General features: G+C 34.3%; 1 protein-coding gene across 2 annotated transcripts in view; it reads left to right on the top strand.

Annotated features, from left to right (window-relative positions):
* The window catches only part of EYS (eyes shut homolog), a 1,987,247-nt gene that overhangs the window by 655,146 nt on the left and 1,307,142 nt on the right, over nt 1-24,959 (top strand). The gene's annotated exons all lie outside the window — the stretch shown is intronic.

The raw sequence follows: 24,959 nt of genomic DNA, 5'->3' as shown, positions 1-24,959 counted from the left end.
CTAAAACTAATGTCCATGAAATATAATGGAAGTAAAGAGAAGATAACTGCCTACCATGTAAATGTTGTTCCTGACAAAATTGAGGAAGTGTCTTACTTACCAATGAAGTATTTAAAGAAGCAAAGTGCATTTCAGGAATAGGGCTGCTTTCTTAGTGGGTAGAAAAGACCACAATACTCAAATTGCCTATTAATATTAATATTGCCTATTAATATATCAGTGATACTGTAATCTATATGAAGTTAATGCTAGTACCTACAGAAAGGTATGATTCAACTCTCTGATTCTATGACTTTATCTTTTTTTAGATTCCACACATAAGTGGGATCATGCGGTATTTGTCTCTTTGTGCCTGGCTTAACATGATGTCCTCCAGGTTCATCCAAGAGGAGGTATTGGTAAAAGGATACAAAATTTCAGTTAGGAGAATTTATTTAATTCAAGATGCCCTGTACAACATGATGACTATAGTTTAAAACAATGTATTATATACTTAAAAATTACTTACAGATTAGATTTTGTGTTCTCACCACCTCAAAATGTGTGTGAGGTAATACATGTGTTCATTAACTTGATTTAGCCATTCCATAATGTATACATGTATCAAAACATCACATTGAATGCTACATATATACATTTTTAATTTGTCAATTTAAAAATAAAGTATGATGCACAATTCAGATTTTTAAATGTGAATTTACTGGCATCAAACTAAATTGTTGATGACTTTATAATTCATAAAATGAAACCTGCACATATTGAATTTCATTAAATGAAGGAGTTCTGGGGGAAAATAATGTTGCATATATCACTGTTAAAACAATTGTCCTTATATTTCTGTCATATATTGATGCTGAGAAATAAGTTGTTACTCTTTTGTTCTAAAATATAAAAGTTTTCAGTAGCTAATGCAAAAAAGATAAGGCTTTGTCATAAATTATTGCTTGATTCTCAAGAAAGTAAGTACTTAATAAGAATGTCATTCTGCTAAAGCTACGTATAGACAAGTAAAATGAAAATAATGTTTGAGCAAAGCAAATGTCTTATCTGCTAGAGATTTAAAGACACATGTCTCTAAATGTGTAGTAATTAATATAAAAAGCTGAAATGGTAATTAGCCATTAAACATGTTTACAAAAGAAAGTAAACAAAGAAGAACAAAACTCAGCAAAATAAAAATGCTTAAGTGTGTTGAAAGCCAGAGTAATAATGCTGTTTTCTGGATAGGGACACTCTGTTATGGGAACTTGTAATTAGAAAGCAGATTTAAGTATATATTTTTAAGTGCTTGTGAAGTGAAAAAGACTGGAGTGCAGATAATGGAGCAATTAGTTTTTCAGCCTTCACAGGCCATATTCAGTCATTCTTGTGTCAAGCTACAATGGGGATCTACAGATGCTGTAATTAAATGCTCCAGTCTACTCAATCTACAGCTATACTAAAGATTCTTGGAGTATAAAATATTTTGGCTGGGCTACCCAAACAACCATCTCTAATGTTCTGGAAATGTATTAAAGTCAAGTCCAGATCAATTTAGAATATTAACCAAAAGTCAGTTAAATTTCTTTAATGAAAATGACAATATGAGTATTATTTTGGAGGAGTGGTCAAATAAATTGAATGAACTGTAAAATACTGAGTCCATAATAAGTTATTAATCCAATAGAAAAAAAATAAACGATTCGTTAAATAGTTGAAGTTAATTTTGTCTTTCATTTGTTCTGTCTAGCAATTAAACAGTAAATATGGAGCAAATATTGGTTTTTATTAGCAGTATTGTGTTCTTCTTCCTGGTGATTAAATCCTTACCTTTAGTTCGTTGTAAGTGCTAACATGCTAAGGTTATTTTGGCAGCAAGCATATAGGGAACCTGAGTGAAAGATGTGAATATTTCTATCTACCATTTAAAACAAAATATTTTTTTGCTTCTTTTATTCCTTTCTCTTATTTTTATTTTAGATTCAAAGCTCTTTAATATCTTGGCCAAACATGTATTTAATTCTACTATTTTAATTTTATTTCATGTTAATGGACCAGACCTATTATTCCTTCTTCCTTTATAACCTATTGACTGCTCCATTTGGGTGGGTAATTATATTTGACTATATTTTCTGTAAAGTTAGCATATCAAGTGAAAAAGTACTGTAATTGACCATAAGTATAAACATATTATATGGTTTTATCAACAAGTTAATGTACGGCCCATCCCAGCTGAGTTACCTATTATGTGCAACAATAGGATGACAGGTCTGGTAAACTTAGAGAAATGTTTAACTATACCGTACGTTTTATACTAATCATTTTTATTTGCATTGTCAAAAGGAGAAAATGTACTCCTGACACTCTAACAATGAGACAAAATTATAATTAAGTTAAAAATCACAGAGAAGGGTTGTTTGCATTGAATTCATAATGGTCTGAAAGCTTTGAAAAATTGGAAAGTAATAACAACGCTATTGTTTTCTAAATGGGTACCTTTCTTCATTTCCAGCACAATACTCACCCTTAAACTGTGATATTATTCAGCATTCTGTCCTCAACTTTTAAACTTTTTCACTATATATGCTTTTCAGGTTGTTCAAATCTATTCAAATGTGTCAACTACCTATTTCCCAGCATGTGAAAAATGGTCTTTTCCCTTTAAATTGAAAGAAGTATATATTGATAAGTGCTAAACTGCCATGCATATCCTCGTATTATACATGTTCCTGGAATAAATTTAAATAAAATAGGGAGCAGAGGCAAAAGAACCTGTGGGAATTCAAAGACCTCAAAGACATTCAGTTTAGCTAAAATTACTCTGAGAACATGAAGCTGGAGTTTTCAACAGAATTCAAACCAGAACTGTCACCCAAGGAATATTAGGGGCAATGCGAAGTCATTAATCTGGGGAAAATTAAACATAAATTTGGGGAGATTATTCTAAATTATAAAGTAGAATTTGATTTTTTTCTTCTTTTGAATTAATTTTCTTTTGTGTATTTGAGATTTACAACATGATTTATGGGATACATATAGATAGTAAAATGGTTACTATAGCGAAGCAGATTAACACATCTATCATCTCATGTGGTTACTTTTCTTTTTGTGACAAGGCACCTAAAATCTACTTATGGCACACTGGAAAGAAAAAATTAACTGCTTGCAGAAATCAAGCTGTGGTCTATTGTAGAGGTATGGAAACAGGGCTTGAGTTAGGTAATTGGATAATTTCAGGAGATATTTAGGTTACAGACAAAATAGGTTAGAATGTTGTGGTGTTCAGATGTGTAAAGTAAGAAAAAAAGAAAATGATGTTCAGTTTCCTAGGTCGGATAAATGGATTGTTGCTTTAGGGAAACAGGAGTGGAAGAAGCACATTTAATGAAGAGGGAGATCAGGAGAGCTTCAAGCATACTGAATCTGTCAGATTGTAAATTATTAAAATCAAGGTTTCCTTTAAATAATCCTAGTATGTGCATCTGAAGCATAGGAGAAAGTTCTAGAAGGACTATCGTTTTATAAATCACCAGTCAAAAAGAAGTATATATGGAATGGTCAAGTTTTTTCATAGGATTGGTTACTAAGAAATACTAAAATATAAAGGCTGGATCGGGAAAGGAACACACAATGAGAAGCCAAAGATGAACACAAAAGATGGGAGAGTTCCAATTAGGAAGAAGTAGTAAGAAAGTCCTAAATAGGATTGGACAGTCCAATGTGATTTGGTGTGAAAATGGTCCAGAGAACTATTACTAAAGTGGCCTTGGTAACCTTCACAAGAAGAGTTTTCAGTGGAGTTTAGTCATTGATGATGATATATTTGGGACTGTACAGATGAAATGAAAAAGTGGCAATAGTAAAACTAGATTCCTTCTTGAAAATATTTGGTAGAAAAGTGGTAAGGAGAAACGAGGCTAAATAGGGGGAACGTGAGACAAAAGCAAGATTTGTTTATCAAAATGTTATGGGGCTTAAGAGACTATGGCTATCTTCCATTAACCCTTTCAGATCTACTCAGTGTCCAAGAAGCTACACTACATGACCTGTATTTTCCATGCTTTCTTTTGAGTTTGGCAAATGGGAGCCCCAATATGAAATAAGAGGAAAGGAAGAGACAGATGCAAATACATTTATCACCTCATTTCCCTCTGTGTTTTGCCTCAAGCTGGCTATGCCCCTCCACTGATCAGGTTATCTTCCCTAAGGCAGTGGTCTCCACACAGCTCCTCTGCCTTAGGTTCTAGCACCATCCACTCAGCTACCTCCACTCAGCTCCTGGGTGGCAGAAAAGACCTCATTCTATTTCTGGTGGTTTTCACATGCTCTGCCGCACTTTGTAAGTAGTCCCTTATTAAATTCCCCACACATTTCTGAGTTCAATTGCATCATCTCTTGCCTGCTAGGATCCAATCACACTTAGTAATCCTAATGTGTGCATAGGAAGATGTTAGACCAGAAGTAGAAACTACAACTTCAGGAGGTAGAGAAGATAATTAACAGAGAGGGCAGTGGAATGTGGTATGATGGTAATCTACAAATCTGGTGATAACATTAAATGTCATCTTAAATATAAATGGTCATAGATTTAAATGTGAAACATATAATCATAAATCTTTTAGAATAAAACATAAGAGAAAATATTTGGGACTTAGAGCTATTCAAAGAATTCTTAGATTTGAAACAAAAAACAGGATCCAGAAATGGAAAAATTAATAAATTGGACTTTGTCAAGATCAACAGTGATGAATCTGTCGTTCTTTGGTAATAAAGTAACCAAATACAAAGTATGGATGGAGATATAGGTAAGACTAGAGGTTTTACTGGTAGAAATTTGAGGGAGTTATTTGATGAAATCCATGTTCTCTGGAATTTGGAGGTATGGTTATATTCTGTGACTGACTAGAAAAATAACAATTTATAATTCAAGGAAAGTATATTAATCTATTCTCAAAATGCTATAAAGAATTACCTGAGACTGGGTAGTTTATAAAAAAAAAAAAAGAGGTTTAATTGACTCATAGTTCCGCAGGCTGTACAGGAGGGATGGCTGCAGAGGCCTCAGAAAACTTAGAATCACAGCAGAAGGTGAAGGGGAAGCAAGCACAACTTCACATTGCATGGCAAGAGGATAGAGAGAGTGGGGCAGGGGCGAAGGTGCCATACACTTTTAAATGACCAGATCTCCCATGAACTCAAAATGAGAGCTCACTTATCACAAAGGGGTGACGAAAGCCATTTATGGGGCATCTGCCCCCATAATACAAACACCTTCCACCAGGTTCCTCCCCAACTTTGAGAATTCAACAAGAGTTTTGGGTGGGAACACATAGCCAAACCATATCAGAGAGTATAAAACTTTTCACATTTAAATGAATATACATTTTCCTGTATGCTGGTGATAGTGTCTATTTCACTTGAAAATGATTTTCCTAACCACATTTTTCTTTAGGAGTTGCTAGTTTGACTAGAGTTAATATCTACCCTCAACCACATCAAAAATTATTCTTGGAATCTTGAATGAAGAATTTGGGAAAATGTTGCTCAGACTTTATTTGACATTGACCATATGAAACATGAATTTACAATTACTGGCAAAAGGAAGTCCTCAAGTTGGAAGAAAAAAGTTCATAGAAGGATAGAATCATAATAATAATAAGGAAAGCTATAAAAAGACAAACAGATATGGCAAAGTTATAGTCCCTAATGTACCTGAGCCGAATGCACTTCTACTCTCATGATTTGCTACTTGAGCTAATAAATTTATCACTGTACCAATGTTGATTCTACTGAGGTTCTGTCTCTTTTCCCTGGAAGAGTCTTCCATTATAAAAATTTAGGCACTATTGAAGTCCAGTTCACACATTTCTTGACATCAGTCTTCAAACTTGTGTGATTTTTCTCTATTGGTGCTCTGTAGCCTAAGAGGAGTTGCATAGAATTAAAAAGTTGGAGTAGTCCAGAATTGAGGAAATAAAGAGAAATTAATAGGTTCTTTGTGTCAATGAATAACCAGGGGAATGTAATCCCACCTCTTGAGTCTGAAGTTTTATTGATATAGAAAAAAACTGTTGCTTAAGAGGGACAAAAGGAATATGATGCAATAATAATGAAACAGGTTTTAATGAAGCAATAAGGTAAAAGTATATTCAATAAATAATATAAGAAAGGTTGTTAATAACAAAAGGGTGAGTTTGTTTGCAGTGCTATAACAAATCTACCAACTACATCCCTAGCTGTTTAACCCTAATTGTTAAATTCTAAACACATCTACATCTACCAGCTACATCCCTAGCCATTCTACAGCTGTTCTTGAGCCAAACCCTCTAGGACAATTAAACCTCTTAGCAAATATTTCAGAGTCCATATCTTAAATTCCATAGACTAAGTGGCTTATAAACAACAAACATATTTGTCATGGTTCTGGAGGCTGCAAAGTCAAGCATCAAGGCACAAACAGTTTTGGTGTCTGGTACCAGCTCACTTCCTCATATGTGGTTATCTTCTCACTGTAACCTGACATGGCAGAAGGGATGAAGGATCTCTTCTATAAGGACTGTAGTCTCTTTTATAAGGACTCGAATTTCTTATACACCTCAGAAATTATTCGAGAGGTTTTCCCTCTCAGAATGTCATCATGCCCCCAAAGACTCCATCTCCAAAACTTTCACATTGGAAATCAGATTTCAACATAAAAATTCGGGGCTGTGGAGTGTTACAAGCATTCAGACTATAGCAGGATACAATGGCAAGGTTTTGGAAAACTATCACAGTGGGAGGTTGATTCAAGTGAGAAGCACAGAGTTAAATGGAAATAAATGATTTAGAAAACATTGCACTATGAAAATTGTATTTTGTCAAAGATCAGAGTGTTCAGAAATCTAAGATATTGTGGACTTAGGAGAGCACACACACAAAAAGGCAAACAGTAATCCTGGAGGCTTCTGGCAATGGTGGAATAGCATATAGACAAACCATTCTTCAGATGACAATTGTGAACTCTAAACAGATCATGAAAACAACTGTTTTAAGGCACTAAAGAGTTACCAGAAGCAGACAGAAATTAAAGAGGAGTCAAGCTTTGAAAGAAAGAAGCTCTGCTGAGTAAAATGTGTATTTCTATTGCTTTTCACCTGAGGGCTACCTTCAGTCTGATATGTATGGGCAGTGAAAACAATAGGAGAAAGCTGCAATTTTAAGTGTAGAAGAGTCACAGGACAATTTGAGGCTCCCAGAATGGCAGAAAAGTGAAGGGGCTGGGGAATTCAAGAAAGGACACCACATAAGGAAGGGTACCAAAATACAAATTGCACAAATCCTTTGTTAATGCCTGAATGACACACACATAGGGAATCTCAATTTTCCCCAGTGGAAGCAACCACTGAAAGTATGAGGAGCTGAGTGGTTGTGGCTGCTTCCAAATACATTGAGGTGGGGTATGGCATTTGAGTTCAGATGTGATAACATCATTCTGTAATAAATAACATCATTGCTTAAAGGAAGAAAACAGAATCCAGAGACAATGCAACATATCAGCACGATGTCAAGAATATAATTATTACTAGAGAGACTTCATCCTCAGAATATTTTCACTATAGTAAAATTACTAGAAGAAAATATAGGGGAAAATCTCCACAAAATTGGATTGGGCAAGGATATTTTGTATATGACTCCAAAAGCACAGGCAACAAAGGCAAAATTAGACAAATGGGATGAAATCAAGGTAAAAAGCTTCTGCATGGCAAAGCAAACAAAATGAGGACAACCCACAGAAAGGAAAACATTATTTTCAAACCGTACATATGATAAGGAATTAATATCCAAAATATATAAGGAACAAAAACAACTCTATAACAAAAAACACACAACCTGGTTGAAAAATAGGCAAAGGATCTGAACAGACGTTTCTCAAAAGCAGACATAAAAATGGCAAACAGATACATTTAAAAATGCTCAGTATCACTAAGCATGAGGGAAATACAAATATTATAAAAACCACAACGAAATATCACTTTACTCCTCTTAGCATGGCTCTTATTATTATCAAAAGGTGAAAAATAATAAGTTTTGTTGAGGATGCAGGAAAAAGGGAACTTACACATTCTGAGAATGTAAATTAGTAAAACCATCATGAAAAATGGTACGGAGATTCCTCAAAAAACTAAAAAATATAACTAGCATATGATCAAATAATTCCATTTCTGGGTATGTATGCAAAGGATGTGAAATCTGTATGTTGAAGGGATATTTGCATGCCCACATCATTGCAGCATTATTCACAATAGTCAGGAGATGGAATCAACCTAAGTGTCTGTCAATGGAAGAATGGATAAATAAAATGTCATATATATATATGCATAAATGAAATATTATTGAAAAAGAACTTTTGTGACAACATTGATTAACCTATAGGGAGAACATTATGTTAAATAAAATAATCCAGACACTGAAAGAAAAGTACCAAATAATCTCACTTACATATGAAATCTAAAAACGTTAAACTCATAGTAGCAGAGAGCAAAATAATGCTTACCAGAGACTGGAGGAGGGGCGCAGGAGGGAATTAGGAATTGTTGATAAAAGGGTACAAAGCTTCAAAAAGAGGCATAAGATTTGAAATCTATTACATAGCAGTGTAACTACAGTGAATAATAAAGTACTTTAGATTACCATTAACATACTCCATTTAGAGTTCATTTGTACTATGACACACTGATATAAAAATAATATACCAGTATAGTCCCATTTACTTCATTTGCTGTACTATTGTCATATTTATTACACTTAGTTATGTTATTTATAAGCATCACAATTCACCCTTATAAAATTTGCTTTAAACACTTACTACATGTGTATATTTCAAAATAAGAGTAACTTTCAAATTTCTCCCCATAAAAAATGATAAATGAAGTAATAGATATATTAATTAGCTCAATTTAATCATTGAACTTTGTATACGTATATCAAAACATCACATTGTACCCCATGATGTATACAGTTATGATTTAACAAAAAATCACAGTAATTTTAAAATGTAGAATAAAATCAAAAGATATCTAGATTTTCAGGCCATCCCGGTCCTATAGAATCAGAAATTGAATTTTCACATGACCCTCAGGAAATTTAATACACATTCACGTTTACATAGACATAACCGAGGCCAGTGCTTCCCAACAGAAATAAATTAAAATGTTAGCCAAATGTGTAGTTTTAAAGTATCTCGTAAACATATATATAATAATTTTAATAAAATAAATATTAAGCTAATAAAATCTTAAAGAATTTCTTCAGCATAAAGGGAAATAGCACCAAGTGGAAACTTACAGAAAGACATGAAGTCTTTGAAAATGAAAAATATGTAGGCACATACACTAGAATATACAAAATTTTTATTTTTTAAAACACATGCAACTGTTTAAGACAAATGTTATAATGCTGAATGGTGGATTTATAAATAATAAACATAACAAATATGACAATAATATAGCAAATGTGATAAATTGAACCATACTGGTGTAAAATTCTTATATGTGTAGTAGTGCAAATTTAAATGGATTATGCAAAAGGCATTCCAAAGAGCAACAAGTAAAAAAAAATTTAAAAAGGGATGGCTATATCAATGAAATAATAAAAATATTTAACCAAAATAAAACAGAAATGAAAGCAAGAAAATTACAACAAAAAACAATAGGCCAAATTACAAAAAGCAAATGGTAAACATAAATTCAATGATCAAAATAATTCCATAAAATGTCAATGAACTAGACAAAAATCCAACCGAGGTATAGATTATTCATCTGGATAAAAAAATCAAGGCCCAGCTTTATTCAATCTACAAGAAATGCAGGTAAATATAAAGACATAGATAAGTTGCAAGAAAGACAGATATACTGTTCAAAAAAAGGCATAAAAATGTGATGATCTATATTCATATTAGAACAAATAGATCCCAGACCAGAAGTAAAAATGATTATCATAATACTGAAGGGGTCAGTTGATCAGTAACTCCAGTCAACAAAATGTGGAGCAGCAGAACCATGCATACAATATGCAGATTCATGAGAAATAATAATAGGTTTTTATTTGTTAAGTCTCTAAGTCAGTTGTTTGTTACAGATAGAGACAATTGAAACAGAAATTAGTACCTAGAAGTGAGATGCTACCATAAATAAAACAGTTTTGTGCCATTGAGACTATTTTGGAAAGAGGTTGCAAAAACAGAAAATTTTAATGATGTCTGTAAGATCAGTGAGGAAATTTGTACTGGAGCTGGAGAAATGGAAACTGTATTATATATTGACCAAATACTGGGATCACTGTTGCTTGTGCCAATGTGAAAGATAGAAAATATACAGCATGACCTTATTAACTAGGCTAAGATTTCAGGACAAAATGTGGAAGTTACCAAATAGCTTCATTTACTGGCCTATGATAAAACAGGAAATAAGAGATGAGTTGACGATGGGACTGTTTTTAACCAAAATTTAGAAAAAATATTTTTAACACAGGAGTACTGTGTTGGAAAATAAATAAGATTCTTATTTTCAGACTTCCAGCTGGTAAAAAGTTTTCAAAATAGACTCAGAGCCATTATTGAATCCAGGACATTACCAGTAAAAGTAGGGTTCAGGTCAAGATCAAGGGTGCATGGTTTTTAAACCCTTTGTTAAGAATCATCTAAGGCAGAGGAATGTAGACCCCTCAGGTAGATAAATATATTTTTAAATCATGAGGACATATCTTAACTCTTACCTCATGGTAGAGAGAACATAATTCTGAGAGATTTGTGTGTCTGGCAGGAAGCTGGCTAAGAAAATTATTCACCTGCAACGTGAGCCACGACTTATGGCTTGCAGAGGAAGGGTCACAGAAGTACTATGGACTGATCTGTGCTATATACCTTTCTTCTTCTCTCCTTTTTTAAGAATGTTTATCTGTTGTAGTATTTCTGTCTCTGCTTAACTTTTCATATTGAGAATATGGATGAGCAGATAACTCGTCTTAAATTTGTAAGTCTCTGAATCAAGAAAAACTGTACCCAAAAGTGAAAACAGAGAAACTGTAGTAAAGTAGCCTCATCTACAATTCTGCAATCTACATCCAGACTTAATCTAAATAATGCTATTCTAGATTTTAAGTGAATTCCAGTGTGATAAGATATTTATAGGTAGAAAAGAGTTTAATTTCCTTATTGAGCATCTTAGTTATTGTGGCCAGAGATTGAGCTGTGTTACATAATATCTAAAAATGACCACTTATCATCCCACTTGATCAGCTGGGATTGGTCAAACACTCTTCTGTCCATGTAGTTTTCTGTATGACTAGCTTGGGCTTCCTTACAACATGGCAACCTGGGGGTAATCAAATTTTTTTAGAACATTGGTTCTAAGCTAGAAATGACTTTGCCTTTCCAGGAGACATTTGGCAAAGCCTAGAGACATTTATGGTTGTCAGGACTGGAGGAATAAAAGAGGCATCAAGTGAGTATACTATGTGCTAAATTTTTCCTCCAAAAATTCACATTTTAAAGTTCTAACCCTCAGTGAGGTCATATCACAATGTAATGTTATTTGTAAATAAAGTCATCTCAAATATATGTAATTAGTTAAGGAGAAGTCATACTTGAGTAGGATAGGTTTCTAATCTAATATGACTGATGTCCTTATCAAAAAGGAAAATTTAGGCACAGACACACAGGGAGACCTCCATATGAAGATGAAAGCAGTGATTGGGGTGATGCTTCTACAAGCCATCGAATGACAGACATTATCAACAAAGCACTGGAAAACATGGGAGGAACATGGAAGAGATTCTCTCTCATAGTTGTCAGAAGGAATCAACTTTACCAAGACCTTAGTCTTGGATGTCTAGCTTTTAGAACTGTGAAACAATAAATTTTTGTTGTTTTCACAACCCATTTTTTGGCGTAGCCTCACAAATACAAGGTAGAGGTCAGGGATTCTGTATACATCTTACAATGAGTAACGAAGTCTCATACAACTAAAAATTATCTGATAAAAGTGTCATTAATGGTGAAGTTGAGAACCTGGTAAGGAGCAACTATTTTAAGAGGAAAGAATCAGAAAGTGCAAGTCTCTTAAGATCCGTGGGCCAAAATTGGCAAAGTAACACTTCTGCAAGATTCTATCGTGCAAACATTTCAGAGTCCATCCAGATTCAAAAATGAGGTAATATTTATTTTATTTATTTATTTTCTTGTTTGTCTATTTATCCATTTACTTTTTACTACATTTTGCTATCTAGCAATGATTATTTATATTCCACTTACATGCAAAATACACCCTTTTTTACTAAGATACCAAAAGTCTTCCTCCATCATAGCATAAGACTTAGGTTGAGATTATAAATTAAACTTTCTAAAATATCTTTTTATAAAATCTGCAAAACCATAAAATATTTATGGTTAATATTTTTAAAAAGGAAAATATGCAGAAAAATACAAAACATTGCGAAGAGAAATTAAATATATAAGAATGGAAAAATGTAATCACATCACATACTGGAAGAATAAATGTGGTTAAGATAATTCATAGATTCAATGTAATCCCTCTTCTAATGCAAGTAGTTTTTTTTAAAAATTGACATGTGTTTTAAGATATAGAAATGTATAAACATATAATGGCCAATAAGTCTATTAAATACAAGAAAAAGTTGACAAATTGTACCATCTGATTTTACAGCTTAAGAAAGTGTTTAATTTGAAAAATAAAAAGACGGTTTGATCAATGAAAGTGAAAAATTTCAGAAATAGAACCACACTTATACAATTAATTTATTTTCAACAAAATATCCAAAGCAATTCAATAAGAAAATAAAAGCCTTTTAAAAAATGATGGTGGAAATGGTAGATATTCATACGGAAAAAATGACATTGACTTCTACCTCACATCATACACAAAGACACTAATTTTAGATGATCATCATTCTCTATGTAAAACCTAAAACTATGAAGGAGAAAATGTAGAAGTTCTTTGTTATCAAGGAGTAGGAATTTTTGTATTAGAACATGTAAAATAAGCAATAATCATTAAAGAAAAAATGATAATTTAGACTAACCAAATTTAAAATTTTTGCTCACCAATGATACTATTTAGAAAATGAATAAGCATGAGAGAAAATACTTACAAACACATACCCAGGACATAAAGCAGAATATATCCAGACAGCGCTTATAATTCACTAATATAAAACAAAACACTAAAACGGTGTGCAAATAACTGGAGAAAATATTTTCATTGAAAGATAAGTAAAAAATTCTTATGATTAATCATCAGAAAAATGTAAAACTAACCAAAAGTGAATACTCCTCCAGAGACTAAAGTTAATAAAAAAATTATTGAAAATGTGAAGTAACTCAAAGTCTCACACACTGTTGGTAAAAAGATAAAATTGTTGATAGGGAATCAAATGAAAGTTTAAAAAATTTGAAAAACATTTTGCAGATTATATTTAAAATTAAACATACACCTATGCTAAGAATAACAATTTATATAAACAAGTGAAATGAAAATATTGTTCTATAAAAAGTCATTTACAAGCATGTTTATAGCAGTTTTATTGATTGTAACCCAGATTTGGAAACAAAAAAATATCTGTCAACATGAAAATAAATAAGGACCTAGTGATATGTATGTACAATGGACTATTACTCAGTGAAGGAAGGATCAAACTACTGACATAAGACTCTCTCAAATATTATGCTAAACAAAAGATAAAAGAAAAGGGACCTATTATAAGATTTCACTTTTTATTTCAAAAATAAGGAAAAACATTAAAAAAATTGTTACCCCAAGTAACAGTGTTGATTGGGAAGGGGACAGAAGGAATTTTCTGTTTATGAAAATGTATTATATCTTTAAAAAATGTGAGTTTTAAAACTGTATGCATTTTTAAAACCCATCTAATCTACATACGTTTAGGATTATGCACTTATGTGTACATTTTAGCTAAGAACAGGATGATAAATTGTTTTCTTATTAGATTTGTTTAATTATTAATTATTAGTGGTTTTGGTTAGTGATTCTAAACCTTTTTGCCATGCATTCTTGACTTGAGCAAATTTGTAGATATTGTTGAAATTAATGAAGCTAGGTTTCTCACTGTTGGAGGAGGAACTGCTAATACGGAAAGGAGAAGTAAAAGGCACCCTGAGGTATTGTTTATAAATTGGAGATATGAGTATAAACTCATGTTTTTTAATACACAGGCATAGAAACATAAATATAAATATATGTACATGCATGTATTTACATATGATACTAGAATATTCCTAACACTTTGGATGATTGGATAAGATTGTATAGAGTTGACTCTTGAACAATGTGGGAACTAAGGGTGCTAAAACTACACAGTTGAAAATTTATGTATAAATTCGACTCCTTAAATCTTAACAACTAATAACAAACTCTTGACTGGGAGCCTTACCCATAACATTAACAGTTGATTAACACATATGTGTATTTTGTATGTTATAGGTATAAATATCGTATTGTTACAATGAATAAAGTAACCTAGAGAAAAGAAAAAACACTAAGAAAATCATACGGAAGAGAAAATACATTTACTTTTTATTAAGTGAAAGTTATCATATAGGTCTTTTTTCTTTCCAGTTTTTATTTTAAGTTCAGAAGGTACATGTGCAGGTATATAACGTGCGAAAATTGTGTGTCATGGAGGTTTGGTGTACAGATAGATTATTTCATCACTGAGGCAATAAGCTTAGTACCTGATAGGTAGTTTTTTGATCCTTGCCCTCCTCCCACCCTTGACCTTCAAGTAGGTCCTCTTATCAATGTTCTCTTATTTGCATCTGTGTGTACTCAACGCTTAGCTCCCACTTAGAAGTAAGAATGTGCAGTAGTTGGTTTCCTGTTCTTGCATTAATTCAATTAAGATAATGGCCTCCAGCTCCTTCCATATTGCTACAAAGAATATGATCTCATTCAATTTTATGTCAGCTTAATATTCCATGGTGTATTTGTACCACATTTTCTTTATTCACTCCACCATTGATAGGCATTTAGATAGATTCCATGACTTTGCTATTAGGAATAGTGCTGCAATGAACATACATGTGCATGCATATTTATGGTAGAACAATTTATATTCCTTTGGGTATATACCCAGTACTGGCATTGCTGGGTCAAATGATAATTCTGTTTTAAGTTCTTTGAGAAGTCTCCAAACTGCTTTTAACCACGGCAGGACTAACTTATATTCCCACCAGCAGTGTATAAATATTCCCTTTTCCCCACAACCTCACCGACATCTGTTATTTTTTTACTTTTAAGGATAGCCATTCTGAGTGGGTATGAGATGGTATCTCAATGTGGTTTTGATTTGCATTTATCTAATGAATAGTGATGAACTTTTTTTTATAGATTTAGTCATGTGTATGTCACCTTCTGACAAATGTTCATGTCCTTTGCCCATTTTTCAATGGTGTTTTTTTGTTTTTTTTTTGGCTTACTAATTTGTTTAAGTTCCTTACAGATTCTGGATATTAGATATTTGTTAGATGCATAGTTTGCAAGTATTTACTCCCGTTTTTTAGGGTATCTGTTTATCTGGTTGAAAGTTTCCTCTTTAATTAAGTGCCATTTGTCAGTTTTTGGTTTTGTACAATTGCTTTTGGCATCATAATGAAAATATTTTCTTTCCCATGGCCTATTTTCAGAATGGTATTTCCTAGTTTTTTTTCTAGGATTGTTATAGTTTTAGGTGATACATTTATGGGTTTAATACATCTTTAGTTGATTTTTGTATATGGTGAAAGGTAAGGGGTCAAGTTTCAGTCTTCTGCGTATAGCTAGCTAGTTATCTCAGCACCGTTTATTGAATAGGGAGTCCTTTCTTCATTTCTTCTTTTTCTTGACTTTGTTGAAAATCAGATGGTTTTAGGTGTGCCGCTCTATTTCTGGATGCTGTATTCTATGCCATTGGTCTATGTGTTTGTTATTGTACCAGTGCCTGCTGTTTTGGTTAATGTAGCCTTGTTGTATGGTTCAAATTCTGATACTGTGATGCCTCTGGCTTTATTCTTTGTGCTAAGGATTGCTTTGGCTATCCAGGCTCTTTTTGGTTCCATATAAATTATTAATAGTTTATTAATAAAGTACTTATTAATAAATTATTATATATTACTATGTAATATATAATATATAACACTATAATATAAAAATATATAATATATATTACAAACAAATTATTAATAATACAAATTATTAGTAGTTTATATGGAACCAGAAAAGAGCCTGGATAGCCAAAGCAATTCTGTGAAAAATGTCATCGCTAGTTTGACAGAGCATTGGAATCTGTAAATTGCTTTGGTCAGTATGGCCATTTTAACAACGATTCTTCCAATTCATGAGCATGGAACATTTTTCCATTTGTGTGTGTCATTTCTGATATCTTTGAGCAGTGTTTTGAAATTCTCATTGTAGAAATTTTTAACAACCCTGTTTAGCTGTATTTCTAGTTTTTTTTGTGTATGGCTATTGTGAACCCAATTGCATTCTTAATGTGGTTCTCAGTTTGGACATCATTGGTGTATAAAAATACTAGTGATTTTTGTACATTGATTTTGTATCCTGAAACTTTACTGAAGTTGTTTATCAGATCTAGGAGCTTTTGGGTAGAGACTATGGAATTTTCTGTATATACAATCATATCATGGTGACTTCCTCTCTTCCTATTTGGATGCCTTTTATGTCCTTCTCTTGACTGATTGCTCTGACTAGGACTTCCGGTGCTATGTTCAATATGAGTAGTTAGTGTAGGTATCCTTGTCTTGTTCTGGTTCCCAAGGAGAATGCTTCCAGCCTGTTCAGTATGATGTGTGTTTGTCATAGATGGATCTTAGTATTTTGAAGTATATTCCTTCATTGCCTAGTGTGTTGAGGGTTTTTAACATGAAGTGACGATGAGTGTTATTGAAAGCCTTTTCTGTATCTATTGAGATGATCATGTGGGTTTTGTTTATAGTGTTGTTTATGTGATGAATTCCATGTATTGATTGGCATATGTTGAACAAACCATGCATCCCAGGAATATGGCCTACTTGACTGTGGTGGATTAGCTCTTTGATGTGGTACTAAATTGGGTTTGGTAATACTTTTTTGAGTATTTTTGAATCTATGTTATTCAGAGATATCGGTCTAAATTTTTCTTTTTTTGTTGTTTCTTTGTGAGGTATCGGTAAAGGAATAATGCTGGCCTCATAGAATGAGTTAGAAAGGGGTCCTTTCTCCTCAAATTTTTTGGAATAGTTTCAGTAGGAATTGTAGTAGCTAGTGTTAGGCTATTTTTATATTGCTATAAATAAATATCTGAGACTGGGTAATTTATAAAGAAGAAAAGTTTAACTAGCTCACAATTATGCATGATTAGTAGAAAGCATGGGGCTGGCACCTGCTCAGCTTCTAAGGAGGCCTCAGAAATCTTACAATTATGGAAGAACTTGAAGGTGGAGCAGGGATATCACATGGCAAAAGCAGGAGCAAACAATATGGAGAGTCAGGGGGAGGTGCCACACACTTTTAAATGACCAGATTTCACAAGAACTCACTTACTATAGTAAAGACAAAACAAGCCATGAGGGATCTGCTCCCATGATCCAAACACCTCCCACCAGGCCCCATTTCCAGCAATAGGGATTGCCATTCAACATGAAATTCAAGTGGAGACAAATATCCATGCTATATCATTCTACCACTGGCCCCTCGCAAATCTCATGTACTTCTCACATCAAAAAATACAATCATCCTTCCCAGTAATCCCACAAAGATTTAATTCATTTCATTAACTCAAAGTACAAAGTTTTGCCTGAGACAAGGGAAGTCCCTTCTACATGTGATCCTGTAAAATGAATTTTTTGAAAAAACCTAGTTATTTACTTCCAAGATACAATGGGGGTATAGGCATTGGGTAAACATTGCTGTTCCAAAGGGGAGAAATTAGCCAAAAGAAAGGGGCTACAGGCCCCGTGCAAGTTCAAAACCCAGCAGGGAAGTAATTACATTAAGTCTTAAAGCTTCAAAATAATCTCCTTTGCCTCCATATCCTGCATCTAGGGCAGGGAACCCAAACGGTGTGTTTTCAAGGCCTTGAGTAGCTCCACAGCTTTGTCTTGGCAGTATTCAGCACCAGGGCTGCTCTCACAGATTGGAATTGAATTCTTGCAGCTTTTCCAGGCACAGGGTGCAAGCTGTCAGTGGATCTACCTTTCTGGGGTCAAAAGAAGAGTGACCTTTTTCTCACAGCTCCACTAGGCAATGCCCAATTTGGGACTCTGTGTGAAGGCTCCAACCCCACTTTTTCCCTCAGCACTGCCCTAGTAGTGATTCTCTGTGAGGGTTCTGCCCCTGCAACAGGCTTCTACCTGAGCACCCAGGCTTTCTCATATATCCTCTGAAATCCAGGAGGAGGCTGCCAAGCATTCTTCACTCTTGTATTCTGTGCCCCTACAGGCTTAACACCATATGGATTCCACCAAGGTTTTTGACTTGCATTCTCCAGAATGGCAGCCTGGAGCTGTACCTGGGTCCCTTTGAGCCACAGATGAAGCTAGAGAGGCCAGAACATGGGGAGCAACTTCAAAAGGGCCTTGTGACCGGCCTATGAAACGATTCTGTCCTCCTAGGCCTCCTGGCCTGTGATGGGAGTGACTGCCATGAAGGTCTCTGAAATACCTTCGAGGCATGTTTTCCATTGCTCTGGCTATTGGCACTTGGCTCCTTTTTGTTATGCAAACATCTCTAGAAAGTGATTACTCCACAGGCTACTTGAATTCCTCTTCTGATAAAGCTTTTTCTTTCTCTTCCATATGACCAGGCTGCAAATTTTCCAAACTCTTATGTTTGCTTCTCTTTCATATATAACTTCCAACTTTGGGTCATTTCTTTCTCCCACATCTGAGCTAGGTTGTTAGAAGCAGCAAGGCCACATCTTGAACACTTGGCTGCTTAGAAATTTCCTCTGCCAGGTATTCTAAATTATCACTCTTGATTTCATACCTCCACAGATCCCTAGGGCATGAACAGAATGCAGTCAAGCTCTTTGCTAGGGCATAACACATGTGACCTTTGCTTCAGTTCTCAATAAGTTCGTCATTTCCATCTGAGACCTCAGCAACCTGGGCTTCACTGTCCATGTCATTAGCAGCATTTTGGTCACAATTATTTAACCAATCTCTAAGAAATTCTAAACTTTCCCTTATCTTCCCATCTTCTTCTGAGCCCTCCAAACTCTTTCAGCTTCTGCCCATTGCACAGTTCCAAAGCTGCTTCCACATCTGCAAGTATTTTTATAGCAATATTCTACTCTTCAGTACCAATGTTCTGTTAGACCATTTTTCACTGCTATAAAAAGAACCCAAGACTGGGTAATTTATTTAAAAAAAAAAAGAGAGAGATATTTCATTAGCTCACCGTTCTGCAGGCTTTACAGGAAGTATGGTGCTGGCATCTGCCCAGATTCTTGGGAGGCCTCAAGAAGCTAACAATTATGGTAGAATTTGAAAGAGGAATAGGCATGTCACATGGTAAAAGCAGGAGCAAGAGAAAGAGACAGTGGTAGGTCAGGTGTCACACACTTTTAAATGACCAGATCACATACAAACTCATTCATCATCACAGAGATAGCATAAGCAATGAGGGACCTGCCCCCATGATCAAAACACCTCCTACCAGGCCCCCTCCAGCATGGAGGATTTCATTCAATATGAGATTTGGGACAGAACAAATATCTAAACTATATCACAACTCTTTTATATATGTCTGGTAGTATTCACCTCTGAATACATCTGGTCATGGGCTTTTTCTGGTTGGTAGGCTTTTCTGATTCAATTTCAGATCTCATTATTATTACTCTGTTCAAGGAATCAGTTTCTTCCTGGTTTAATCTTGGGAGGTTGTATGTATCCAGGAATTTATTCACTTATTTTAGATTTTCTAGTTTGTGTGCATAGAGTTGTCCATAATAGTTTCTTAGGGTTGTTTTTGTTTGTTTGTTTGTTTTTGTTTTTATCTGTGGGGTCAGTGGTTATGTCCCTTTTGTCATTTCTGATTGTGTTTATTTGGATCTTCAACATTTTAATTTGTCTAATTAGTGTATTATGAATCTTATATATTTTTTCAAGAAACCAATTTTGGGTTTTGTTTATCTTTTGTATGATTTTTCATGTATTAATTTCAGTTCAGCTCTGATTTTGCTTATTTTTTTTTCTGCTAACTTTCAGGTTTGTTTGTTCTTTTTTTCTGGTCCCTCTGAGTGTGATGGTAATTTGATAATCTGATATCTTCCTAACTCTTTGATGTGAGCCTTTAGTGCTATAAACTTTGCTTTTAACACAACTTTCACAATGTCCCAGAGATTCTGGTAAATTATATCTTTGTTTTCATTAGTTTCAAAAAATTTCTTGATTTTTGCCTTACTTTCATTGTTTACTCAAAAAATCACTCAGGAGTAGGTTGTTTAATTTCCATGTAATTGTATGGTTTTGAGAGATCTTTCTGGTATTAATTTTTATTTTTATTGCACTGTGGTCCAAGAGCATGGTTGGTATGATTTTGTTTTTTTGAATTTACTAACAATTATTTTATGTCTTATCACATGGTCAATTTTAGAGTTGGTGTCATATGCCAATGAGAAGAATATATATTCTGTTGCTGTTGAGTGGAGTGTTCTGTACATGTGTGCTAGGTCAATTTGTCCAAGTGTAGAGTTCAGGTCCCAAACATCCTTATTAGTTTTCTTCTTTCATGACCTCTCTAATACTTTAAGTGAGGTGTTAAAGTCTGCCACTATTTTTGTGTGGTTATAAAGTCTCTTCATAGATCTCTAAGAACTTGTTTTATGAACCTGGGTGCTCCAGTGTTGGGTGTGTGTATATGTGTGTGTGTGTGTGTATGTGCGTGTGTGTGTATATATATATATATAAAATATAAAATATTATATATAATATGTATAAATGTGTGTGTGTTTAGAATGGTTATGTCTTCTTGTTGAATTGACCTATTTATCATGTGTAATGCCCTTCTTTTATCTTTGCTGGTTTAAAATCTGTTTTGTCTGAAATTAGAATAGCAACCTCTGCTCTTTTTTGTTTTCCATTTGCCTTGTAGAATTTTCTCCATCTCTTTAGTTTGAGGCTATGGGTGTCATTGCATGGAATATGGGTCTCTTAAAGACAGCATACAGTTGGGTCTTATTTCTTTATCCACCTTGCCATTCTTTGCCTTTTAACTAAGACATTTACCTATTTACATTCAAGGTTAACATTGATATGTGGATTTGATCCTGTCATTTTGTTGTTTGTTGTTACGCAGACTTGATTGACACTATAAAGCAGCCCCTGAAGGGCTACTAACAGGTCCATGGCCTTTTTCTCTGACCCTCTCAACGTTAAGCACCTGCTGTGTTGGAGGAATCAAGGTATGCCCTGTCCACTGGCAACAATACCCCGATGGAATCTGTCAGCCAACATGCTTCACTGGAGCAGTGGCAGTGGGATCTCAGCTTGTGCATGCATGCCAGCAGCAATAGTGGTACAGTGGAGTACATGCATGTGGACAGGGTGCTCAGGGGATGCAGTGAGTTCTGCCTACACAGGTGCCAGCAAATCAGTGGGGGTGCTACAGGTGAATGTGTGCCAGCATAGTGGTGTGGGGAGGCTGCAGTGTGGGGATGCTGTGCGTAGTTGGGTGCATGCTGGCAGTAGTCTGTCTGCAGAAGCTCTCTGATGGTTAGGGAGGGTCTGTCAACAAAGGACCTATGGCAATGGCCACCAGGAAGCACCTGGTTGGGCATCTGACACTGTGCTGCAAGCAGCATCAGCCAAGCAGGGACCCTAGGAGTGGCTGGCAGAGAAGGGAAAGCTCAGGTCACATCCATCTTATTGGCAAGATCACCCTGCTTTGTCCAGGTCTGACAGTCATCAAAGGCTACAGACACTTCGGGGAATGTGGCCAGACTTGGGGGATGTACATCCCTAGCTGTTCTCCAGCTGTTCTTGAGCCAAACCCTCTGGAATCCACACAGGCTGGAGGTCTGACCTCTCTAAACAGCTCTTCTTGTCAGCTCAAATGTCCATGGTGGCCATGAGGTGTCCTGAAGCTAGCATTCTGGTGTTCCATAGTGAGAGTGGGCCATCCTCGCTTATTTGTCTCACCCCTTCCCCAGGACCCACTGGCACCAGGAATGCGTCCCTCATACTCAGCAGGCCAATGAAGAGATTCCAGATTGCTCCCCATTCAGCCCCGGGTATCCATCTTCTTTCCATCCGCTCTGAATTCCTTTCTTCCAAAGATCCTCACACAGTGTGCCAGTCTTCTTAATAGTCTGGTCTCTTGCTGGGAGATGCTCTTCCTATCTGCATTTAGTAGGCCATCTTGGCTCCTTCTCCTCTTGTAAAGTTCTTCATCCTCATCATCTTCAAATTGAATAGACCTCGGAGGAGGAGGAAGAGGAGAGGTTGGTCTTGCTGTCTTGGGGGTGGCAGAGGCAGAAGAGGTCAAGGAATTAGAAGGGGAGGCAGGAGAGGCAGGCACACTCCATGTAAATTTTATTGAAAAACTTTGCATATAAATAGACCCATGTCATTTAAACCTATGCTGTTCAAGGGTCAATGGTTTATCAGTATAAATCTGATATGAGTGTATATGTGTGCATGTGTATTTATATAATTCCTACAAAGTACGTATCTGCATATAAATGTATGTATATCAATATATAGACATAAATATATACATATGTGTATGTATGTATGCATACATACCCACACATGCACATATTTCCTAACTCTTTCCCTTTATAAGAGAACACTCTGATCACCTAGATCTTGATTTCTTAATATCATTCTCTACTTAAAGGAACCATACTTTTTACAGAAAAGATAAATTTCAAGCCTAGAGCAAGGAAGTTAAAAGAGAAACCTTAAATATCTTTTTTGCATTATAAAGAAGTACTCAAAGAAAAAGGAGAATAAATCAAAAGGACACAGGGGACAGCTCTACAGGTTTTCCACTGGCTAAGTAGGAGGAAATTTCAGCAGTAAAATAAATAATAAAGTTAATGTATTATAATTCACTGAATAATATAATAACTGATGATTCAATTCTTATATAAATGTATAATAAATTGAAAAATAGACAAATACTTAGGGAGGTATAAAGGCAAAGCTCTTCCTTATAGCAGAAAATCAACATATACATGAAAGTAAGGTGGAGTTGGAAAATTATCAATGATTGCTAAACTAGTGGGTGAAAGATTCTTTAACAAAAATACATGTTTATAGTTCTTAAATAACAAAATTATTCATTAAGTCCAAGGGGATAAATTACATAAATTTTTTACTGGAATAAGTTAACAAATATTAGAACAACCTAACTAAAAATGTCCACTGATATGCACTGAGGATAACATATCACTTCTGTTGTACTTCTTTCAAAGTTATATAAAACCTGAATTTGAATCAAAAGGTAACATCAGATAAACCAAAATTGAAGGGCACTTTTCAAAATTACTAGACTATTATGTGAAAACTATACTAAAAATCTACTCTCAGCAAATTTTATGTATACATTATTATTAACTATAGTCAATAGTATTGGTTTTTGTAATTGTACTATGATGATGTAAGAAATAACATTGTTCTTAGAAAACACATACTGCAGTAATTAAGGATAAAGGTTCATAATATTTCAAACTTCCTCTAAAATGTTTCACAAAAAGAATTATATATGATATAGATAATATATATTATTGTAGAAATGCATATAATATAGATAAGTGAACATAGAGATAAAATATTAAGGCAATTATAGCAAAATATCCCAAAACATTTTGGGACTCTGAGTAAAGCATTGGAGTTTCTTGCACTATTTTAATTTGTTTGTAAGCTTTAAGCTATATAAAAATAAAAAGTTAACAGAAATTGATCTTAATACTCCATGATGAGCACTGCACACCTCTTAGTAAGATAAAAATGAAATAAACACAAAACAAATGACAATAGTAAATGCTTGTGATGCAGAAGAACTCAAAGTGTAGTCATTGATGATGGGAATGCAGGATAGTAAAGCAGACTTTGAAAAGAAATCCGGCATAATAATTTAGTGTTAATTAAGTATTCACTTTACCATACAATCCAGCAATCAAGTATTTACTCAAGTGAAATAAAGATTTTGTTATATATGCAAATGTTTATAGGGTACATTTATACATATTCATATTCACCTTTATACGTATTCACCAATAAATGCAAACAAACAACATGCCTTACAACAGATGAACAGATAACTTCTGGTACATAAATACAATGATATACTATCTGGCACTAAAAAGGAACAAAGTGATTAATACAATACTGATAAGTCTTAAGTGCATTTTCTTACGTGAAAGAAGCCATACACAAAAGGTACCTATTGCATGATTCCACTTATACAGCATTCAGGAAAATGTAGAGCTAAATATCAGGACAGACAGCAGATCAGTGGTTGACAGAAAGTTGAGATTGGGATTGTTTTTAATGAGGCATTGAAGAGAATGTTTAGAATGCTGTAATTGTTTAATCCAGTCCTGTGATGGTACACATGTTTGTCAAAATCAATAGAGCTCTACCCTAAGTAATAACTTATTGTACACAAATTAAAAACATCAACCAGGATGTAGGAGGGTCCAATAACAGAAAGCAGACTGTCACAAATCTGCTAATGAAGACTGTCACAAAAACTTCTAATGAAGTCAGATTTATTAGAAAAGTTTATTAGAACTAGTTCATTAGAAAAGTATGACATTAGAAAAGTTAAGACATCACTAAATGATGTGGAAAGAAAAGGAACTGATCTAAATAACTTTAGAAACAAGAGTTTTGATTGACGACATTAAGGTAAAAGCTAAAATAACTGTACAAAAACATCATACTCTTTGGGGTAAATTTGTTTCTTACTGAGGTATAGATG

The sequence above is a fragment of the Homo sapiens genome, chromosome 6 (assembly GCF_000001405.40).
Source record: "Homo sapiens chromosome 6, GRCh38.p14 Primary Assembly".
Classification (NCBI taxonomy): domain Eukaryota; kingdom Metazoa; phylum Chordata; class Mammalia; order Primates; family Hominidae; genus Homo; species Homo sapiens.
The sequence above is the reverse complement of the archived record's forward strand: the minus strand, read 5'-3'. Positions and strand labels throughout refer to the sequence as shown.